The 9,304-nt window shown below is 36.6% G+C and overlaps 1 long non-coding RNA gene across 1 annotated transcript; it reads left to right on the top strand.

Moving 5' to 3' along the window:
* Positions 1-1,525: 1,525 nt before the first annotated feature.
* Positions 1,526-7,982, top strand: LOC105376248 (uncharacterized). The gene is made up of 3 exons (XR_930294.2): positions 1,526-1,869; positions 7,004-7,057; positions 7,586-7,982. It is a non-coding gene; the product is annotated as an uncharacterized LOC105376248 (long non-coding RNA).
* Positions 7,983-9,304: the final 1,322 nt, after the last annotated feature.

The following is a 9,304-nucleotide window of genomic DNA, read 5'->3' as shown; positions in this document are numbered from 1 at the left end:
TTCTTTAGATTGTCTTTTCACTCTGTTGATTGTTTCCTTTTATGCTGAGAAGTTTTGAAGTTTGACGTCTCATTTGTTAATTATGGCTTTTGGGCCTATGCCTTTGATGTCATAACCAAGAAATAATTAGCAAATCCAATGTCCTGAAGTTTTTCCAATACATCTTCGTCTAGAAGTTTTCTTGTTCTAAGTCTTAAGTTTATATATTTAATCCATTGTGAGTTAATTTTTGTAAACAGTGTAAGATGTGGGTTCAGTTTCATTAATTTGTATGTGAATATCCAGTTTTCCCAACACTGTTTGTTGAAGAGACTCCTCTTTCTCCGTTGTGTAATGTAGGTACCCTTGCAAAGTTCATTTGACAATATGTGCATGGTTTTATTTCTGGTTTCTCTATTCTATTCAATTTATCTATATGTCTGTCTTTATGCCACACCATCTCGATTACTATTTCTTTGTGGTATGTTTTGAAATCAGGAATTGTTGTTTTTTCCTTAAGATTACTTGGACTATTCAGGGTCCCTTTAGATTTTATATGAATTTGGGGATGGCCTTTCTATTTCTGCAAAAACTGCCACTGGACATTTGAAAAGGATTGCATTGAATCTGTAGATAACTTGGATATTATAGACAGTTTAACAATATTATGTCTCCTAATCCATTAACAGAAGAGGTCTTTCCATTTATTTGTATCTTTTTCTTTTTTAAGGAATGTTTTGTGGTTTCCAGTGTACAAGTATTTTGCCTCTTCAGTTAAGTTTATTTTTGAATATTTTATTCCTTTGATTGCCAATATAAATGGGATTATTTTCTATTTTGTTGGTTAATGCTAGCATTTACAAGCACAACTGATTTTTGCATTGCTTTTATATCTTGCAATTGTGAAATTTATTATTTTTAACAGTTTTTTGGTGGATTTTTAGGGTTATCTAAATATAAGAATGTATGAAAGTTTCTGCAAAATTATTATTTTAGGAGAAGAGATTGTACATGTCTTTAAGGAGTTCAATTATTGGGGAGTCAGGCTTTTGATATATAAAATATTTAAAACTTCAAATTGGTCACTTATTTTCCAAAGTTTTCTAATTCATTCAAAAATGATTGCTTGACATCAGAGACTCTATAATTATTTTCCAACTGATATTTCCAATCATCTACTTGTCTTTCCTATCACACCCTACATTCTAGTTAAATGGGATATTTTAAATACTCTAATTAGACTTGACATTTCCCAATACCTGTGCTTTTTCACAAACTAGTCTTTATGTGTACAATTACCTTCATTAAGTTCTATGTCCTGGCTAAATCCTATTTTTTTTAATTGCAGAGATATTATTGGTTTCATATGTAACAGCCATTCCCTTACTTTAAGATTCTTAAATGTGCTTCAGAAAATGCTATACTCATTGTCACCATGGGGATTGAATCACAATGAATCTAAGTCAGTATGGTTCCATTTCTCTTAATAGTGATTGGTTTACATGTGGCCTTTTACTTAGTTTTAGCCAAGAAGACCATAAGAAAATAACTGTTGGAGGGGCTTCTGGAAAAATACAATATTGCTCTTAAAAAGAAATACATGAAAGAACATTTCTGCTTCTGCATGTACAGTCAGTCAATATGACATCTCATATTTTCTAAGATTTAAAAGAAAGATGGGGCAAATGTGTATGGGGAATAGTGTCATGAGATGGAGTGGAAGAGCGGGTAGGTTACAGGTCAAGTAGGACCTGGTAGGTCATGGTGAGAAGTTGAAAACTTATTTTAAATGCTATGGGAAACTATACAAAATTTCCAAGAGAGTTAGTAACACAAGCTTGTTTTTCAAAAATCACGCTGGCTGTTTTTGTAGTGCATGGATTGAAAGAGGTAAGAATTGAAACAGAAAAATCAATTAGAAGGTTACCAATGTAGCCTTGGAGGGAGTGGTATGATGGGAGGAGAAGACGTTTAATACTCATCGCTAAAATAAATGTACGCTGTATTGCAAATAACTATATATAACCATAATTATGTAATGTAGGCTGAATATATCACCACTAAACGGGTGGGCAACAGGATCAAGATTAGCATCAGAGAGAGGTCATCGGGAAAACAGAGAGCAGCTTATACTCACGCTGTGGGAGGAAGTCAGTCTCTACACCCCAGGGAGATGCAAGCAGGCTTCACTCTGTGTTTTTCCTCTGCAATCATTGCGTTCCCTACAGGACAGGTGCTGCTTAATATGACTACCTTCCCTTTATTCACGATTGTTTGTGGTTCTGATTAAACAGCCTCCTGGCAGGAGGAAGGCCTTTCTGGGAAGGGCAGTGAGAGGTTTGCCATTTCCCAGAAAAACCTGGCAGTCCTTAGGCCCTGCTAATAGTAGCTGATGAGTTAATTTTCCTTCCTAACAAGCCTTACTCCAAGAGGCAGAAATAAACACTGGCAGGGGTTGCATGAAAATAGCCAGGTGCTCTGGTCCAGCCCTCCCAGGTCAGCAAGTGATGTGCAATTTGCTGTTCTCGCTTAGGGTGAATTTGCTGGTTCAGGTCAGAAAGTTCAAGATGGTGAGGGGGGAATGGTTTAAAAGCAAATGAAAAGTCATAGTTTCCTCTCCACATGGTACAAGTGCACCTTGGCTAAAACCACTTCTGCTTTGTCATTTAAGCATCAGGCATTTCCCCTCTGTGGTCACCTGGAAGCTGGCATCTACAGCAGAGAGCAGCAGCAGAGGGGCCTGCTTAGTTCATCTGATCCACTTTGCTGAGCCTGGCCTCTACTGCCCCCTTTTGGCTGACATACACTACAGACTGCTCAGGCTCGAAACTCTTAACCCTCTACCGCCAGGTCTTCCACATAGCCTAGCAAATGTTTCTCTTTGGGTCTCAGGACCTTATTATTTATTTCTGGCTTGCTCTTAGATTTTGGCTTGGAAATTGGCCGGTTAGTATTTGCTTTCTGATATTCTAGGTCTAAGGGACCCTCTCTCTAAGAGGGATTTTGCTCATTCATAGCATGATAAAATGTTAGCAGTTGCCTCAACGTTTATCTAGTCCAAAAACAGTGAATACATAACTTTTGTATATATTACCGTTGTCATTTTCTGCGCACATAAAGAGCATGTCTAATCAATCATGCTATATGTTTTTGCTGATCCTAGACTTGCTCTCAATCCTTCTAACATGACCACTAATGTTTTTTTACCATCAATATTTTGGATTTGACTAGAGATAAAACCCATGCATTCTTTAGTTATTACATTTACAGATAAGAAACAGAGGCCAAGAGAAGGGATAAAAATTTGATATTCCATACATAGCAGGCTATTGTTAGACTCAGAACTAGAATCTAGGTCTCCAGAATCCCAGGATGAAGTTCTTTTCATTGAAAATCATTGAATCCTTTACAAAATTGAATACTTTCTGTGTTAGTCAATTTTGCATTGCTATAAAGGAATACCGAAGACTAGATAGTTTATAAAGAGAAAAGGCTTATTTGGCTCATGGTTCTGTAGGCTGTAGAAGAAGCATAGTGCCAGCATCTGCTTCTGGTGAGGCCTCAGGAAGTACAAAATCATGACAGAAGGCAAAAGGGGAACCGGTGTATCACATGGCAAGAGAGGGAGCAAGAGAGAGGGGAGAGGCACTAGTCCCCTTTAACAAGCAGATCTCTTGTGAACTAAAAGAGTAACAATTCACTTATTACCACGGGCAGGGCACCAAGCCATTCATGAGGGATCTACCACCATGATCCAAACACCTCCCACCATGCTCCACCTCCAACACTGGGGATTACATTTCAACATGAGATTTGTAAGGGACATGCATCCAAACCATATCACTTTCAAAGTGTGTTTTATGGTCCAGATTCTAACACTATATTTACAATTGTCCTGGCCTAGAGTAGTTATTCATTTACGGAAACCTTTACTCTTCATCTGCCACAGTGCTGGGCATTGGTCATGATGGAATCCTGAAATGAAAACACATTTCTCAAGATTTCTCCCAACAAAAGAACTGCTGGATCAAGGGACAAGCAAGTGAGGTGCTGATCGACAGACCTGGTAGTTGCTGTAAGAAACTCATGGCAGATATAGACTATTGTGGAGCAGAGGGAAGCCTAGAGATCCTATAGTTCAATCTTCCAATTTTTTAGATGAAACCTTAGAGACTTGTCTGCAGTTACATAATTATCAGCATGGGAACTGAGGCTATGGCTCAGTTACCTGGCTCAGTTCTAAAAAAGCACTATGCCTATGCCTCCACACTGTCTTTATCAGATATAGCAACCCAAAGAGGTTAATTTATTGGTCATTTGAAATCATTCCTCATAGTCATTGTCTTAACCACTGCCAAAATGCTGTGAGAAAGGTATCAGGTTTTATGTGTTTTTTTGTTTGGTTTGTTTGTTTGTTATGCCAATAAGGAAAGGAAAACAAATATTTCATGTAATTTGCCCAAGATCATCATGGTAGACACTACTGGTGCTCATTTTCCCCTCTTAGCCACAGGTATGGGGAAGACTTCTTAGCCTTTTTGCTTATGGATAGGGAGTTCCCACAAATTTTTGACAATGAACTGTGAACAGAAGTGACATACCTAGGTTGAAACAGTGAAAGCCCATGCATGATGTTCACTTTCCCTCTTTTGCTTGCAACAGTGATTGTGGAGAACTCCTGTTGCAATGATGAAGCCTCAAGACAAATCCTGCTGATATCACTGGTCACTTCTTGTAAGGGAACTGTCCTGGTGAATGCTGGAGCCACTGCTATTTGTTGAGCTATTGAGTTATTGATATATATCCAAGTTTATTACCACCACATAAGCTTATTCTGTCCTGACCAATGTAAACTAAAAAGAAATATGTCTGTTTACAAAACAAATTTTGTTGGGTTGTTTCATCTCTGCTATATTTAAATTACATCTTAGCTCTGCCAATTAGGTCATATCTAAATATCTCTGAGCTTCATTTTCCTCAAATATAGAAGAGCTACAGTGCTGCCAATATGGTTTGGTTCTGTGTCCCCACCCAACTCCCACCTCGAATTGTAATCCCCATAATCCCCAAGTGTCAAGGGCAGGACCAAATGGAGGTAATTGGATCATGGGGATGGTTTCTCCCATGCTGTTGTGATAATGAGTGAGTCTCACAAGATCTGATGGGCTTATAAGCATCTAGCATTTCCCCTACTTGCACTCACTTCATCCTGCAGCCCTGTGAAGAAGGTGCCTGCTTCTCCTTTGCTTTCTACCATGATTGTCATGATTGTAAGTTTCCTGCAGCCTCCCCAGCAATGTGGAACTGTGAGTCAATTAAACCTCTTTCCGTTATATATTACCCAGTCTTGAGTATTTCTTCATAGCAGTGTGAGAATGGAGCAATAAAGCTACCTATTTTAGGCAATAGTTGCAAGAATTAATAGAGAAAATATATATAAAGTTTGTAAAACATAGTAAGCACTCACTTGTTAGTTTGTCATCTCCCCAGATGTCTTTCTTGTTGAAATCAATAATCTCTTGCTCTATACATATTGTAGTTTTGTCAAAGATCACTATTTCAGAGGTCATGGGCTCAGATGCACACAGGGACAAGGTAGTTACGATAAAACTGTGTTTTAAGCTGGGCAGGGTGAAGTAGAGAGCCCTAGAGTGTTTTACACAGGACAGCTACTGCTTACATACAGCTGATGATTACTACCTAGGGAGTTAAGGCCCAGGTAAGGGAAACACCAGAATTTTCTGAATTTCTTGTGAAATGTTAAATATATTTTTTATTTAATTTGGGAAATTAATTACTAATTTTTTGAACCGGGGGTGAGACAACAGAGTTCAAGTCAAATACGCACATATCTGCAGGCCCTTTAGGCTACCAGTTTGTAACCTCTGGATTTGATCTCTATTGTTAATACTCTATATCTTGCACAAAGAGTGTCCATGTGAATGCAGGACACTAGACGGTTAGTCCCTGGAAGAGAGGGGCCTCATCCTTCCACTTCTGTCCTTCTCACTGTTCAATAACAAATCTGAAACAAAATAGAATGAGTGGCTGAAATGGGTTATATTAACAATGCTTTTTGAATGGTAAACTTTTCAAAGTGAGATATTTGACTTAAGCAAATTTAAAGTAATTGTTTCCAAATCAAAGACATAGTTGTCTCAGGTTGTTCATCCAAACAAAAGGCTATGGATTGTTCTTACTGTGGTATCAATTAAACTGTGCCCCATTCCTGTCTATATGCTTATGTCAGAGAACTGGTGAATAGCCTGCCTTATAATGGAACACCAAAATAAAATGAACATTGGAGAACGAGTCCCATGTTGTCAGTTGAAAAAAACACAGTTCCCTGAGGGCATGTAAGAGAATCTCCAAAGAGAGGGTAGGGGTAGGGTGGTTTATAAACATTCACTCTAAAATGTCTATTACTTAATTTTTTTTCAGGCAAAATAATTATTTTAACATATAAAGTAACATTAAAAGAGTATGTTGAATTTGAAAGCATGGTGTCTAATAATAATAATGATAATAATTAATATCCATTTCTATTTATTGAATGCTGTATGCAAAGCGCAATGCTAAATTTTTTACCCACGTTATATTATTTAATCCACAGTGCCTTTTGTGGTAGATAATGGTACTTTTTCTATTTTAAGATGAGGAAGTTCAGGCAGCTTAAATAACATGTCTATAATAGCATATCTGTTAAATCACTCAGCAGAGTTCTAGCTATATACAATTTCAGAGGCCATGATTTTATCAAAAATTTTTCCTTTTGCAATAAACAATGTTTAAAGCAAAAATTTCCTTTTCTATAAACAGTGACTACACCACTACCCCTTTCTTCCAGAACAATCTCTCCATGGAACTCCAATGAAGGAAATTGATTAAAAATCATTCACTTCATAATGAGACTTCAGAGACAACTCTGAGGGACACAGGTTGATGTAATATTTTCCTTCCTGAAGTCCTTGAATCCCTTGTAGCGTTAATAATATTATATTTTTATGTTTTCCCCTTATTTTAGATGGGCAAATTCAAGTACATGGCTGCTAAATATGTTCTCCATGATTTTCTTCATGTAAGTATTACAAAAAAGTAAAACAGGATCTCATTTTGCTGAATATTAGATGGATAGTTTTGGGCAAATTAATTGCTATATTGATGCCTGTTTTTATATTTGTCAAACTGGCATAATAATTGCCCATATGTTGTAAGATTGCCATGACAATCAAATGAGATAAGATAAAAACATTTATTAATTGATGTCATTGGCAATCAGCATGTAGTAGCTGCCAGAACAAATGGTAGTTATTTTTATATTATTACCAATATTGTTGTTATCTGAATATTTTAGCATGTTTTCTTGAAGAGTAGCAACCCTAAAATATTGATATGGATATAACAAACATCAGAGATGATCAGTTATGGGGTCAAGGGGAGGGAGAAAATTATGCTGGGTTTTTTTTTAGGGTATGGTAATAGAATGTTATAAAATGAGAACATTATATTTCCAAGCATAGGAATGTGTGGAAAATTTTGTAAGAGGCTCACCCATCATGGTTATCTCTCCCTTTCACTGTCTGTGAGTTATTTTATAACCCAGCAGGTCATTAGAAGATGATAATAATACAAACAATTTTTGTTCATGGTGGGGTGGACAGAATATGCCATCCCAAGATGTGAAAGATGGCTGAACTGAAAACAATTAAGAAGACACAGATATAGGAAAGCTCTCTGTACTCCATCTATTTGCCTAAAAGCAGAGCATAGATTTACAAGGGCAACCCCCTCACTCACCCCACCTTATACCAAGGAGAAAAAGGTTAATCGCCAAAGACAGCTTTACATCTTTATCGGTCTGGAGATGGTCCCAGAGGGAATCTACATTAAGAAGCTCTACTAACTAACATTTTTCTGCCAGTTATTTGCCTTCTTCCAAGTTGCAGTCCTTAAAGGCTCAAAGTCCTTTTCCTTCGGTTACTTCTCTGAAACTTTATTGCTCTTTGTTGAAGATGCTACATTAGCTAGATTTCAAGCCTCTTTGAGAACTACTGATCCCGAGTGTTTCTCATGTATATATGAAATATACATATTAATAAACATCTGTTTGTTTTTCTCTTGTAAATGTGTCTTTTATTACAGGGGTTTAGTCCAAATATAAACCTATGGGGGTTGAAGAAAAACCCCTCACATAGAAATGCAAATTATGCTCATGGAATGCAAATGCTTATGATCCTGTGTATATTGAACAGTTATTACATATTTGAAATTTACAAATTCACTTGTAATTTCATTTCAGCATTCCTTACTTGACCATAAATAACTAAAACTTTGAGTTTTTCTTCAAACCAGTTGTAACATCTTACTGGTTCCCTTATTAATTAGTGTGTTAAATAAAATATATAATGTATTCATTTTATATTTGCATGAGGCATAATTTTACTTTTAAATATATGTATGTGTGTGTATATATATGTGTATATACATAATATTTTAAGAGTAAAAAACTTTGAATTCAAAGACCTTTTAACACTTATTCTAGTATAACATTAGGCAATCATTTAACTTACCATGTTGTGGGTTTCTTTTTTAGTAAAATGGTAAAATAATATCTATATCACCCTACCCTTCTCAATGGTAATTCTGAGAATCTATTAAAAATAAAACTAGACACGAAAGTGATTTGAAACTGTAGCTATCTATACATATGCCAGGGATAAGAATTATTATATTTGATACATGAAAGTGGCTCATAGTCAGCAATTTGTTAGTGGAGATAGAAACACAGCCAGGCCATTGCTATCTAGCCTGGTATCCTCTCTAGATCACGATGCTTTCCCATAAAGATCAGAACACGTTGGCCTGGAACAAGAGGAACCTGGTAGCAAAGTGATTTTGTGTTATCAACAAGATGATAAGCTCAATAAAGAGTCCATTAGGATAGGGAATGTGAGGCAAGTGGATTTCCTTTGTAAATAATCCCTCATGGCCTCAAAAACAACCACTTATTTCTACCATGGCAAGCCTTGACGGGAGAGCCAATTCGGAAGGAATGAAGATGCTGAATTCAGAGCTCATATATGCAATTTTCGAGTTTAAAAAAAGCTCACCTTATCTTCCGTTTCTCTTCAATTTTAACAGCTTGGAGCTGCTAAATTGAGTAAAATGACTTTCCCAGAGAAGTGAACTCTTTGGGTCAGAAGAAACTTTAAAATCATAATAGCCAGTCTCTCTCTGATTATATAAGCTTCATCATCATCAGCTTAGTCTTCATCTGAGATGATGTTTGCATCAGATGCTTTTAATTTAGTCCCCTTTTCCCCAG

Source organism: Homo sapiens, chromosome 9 (assembly GCF_000001405.40).
Source record: "Homo sapiens chromosome 9, GRCh38.p14 Primary Assembly".
NCBI lineage: Eukaryota > Metazoa > Chordata > Mammalia > Primates > Hominidae > Homo > Homo sapiens.
The sequence above is the reverse complement of the archived record's forward strand: the minus strand, read 5'-3'. Positions and strand labels throughout refer to the sequence as shown.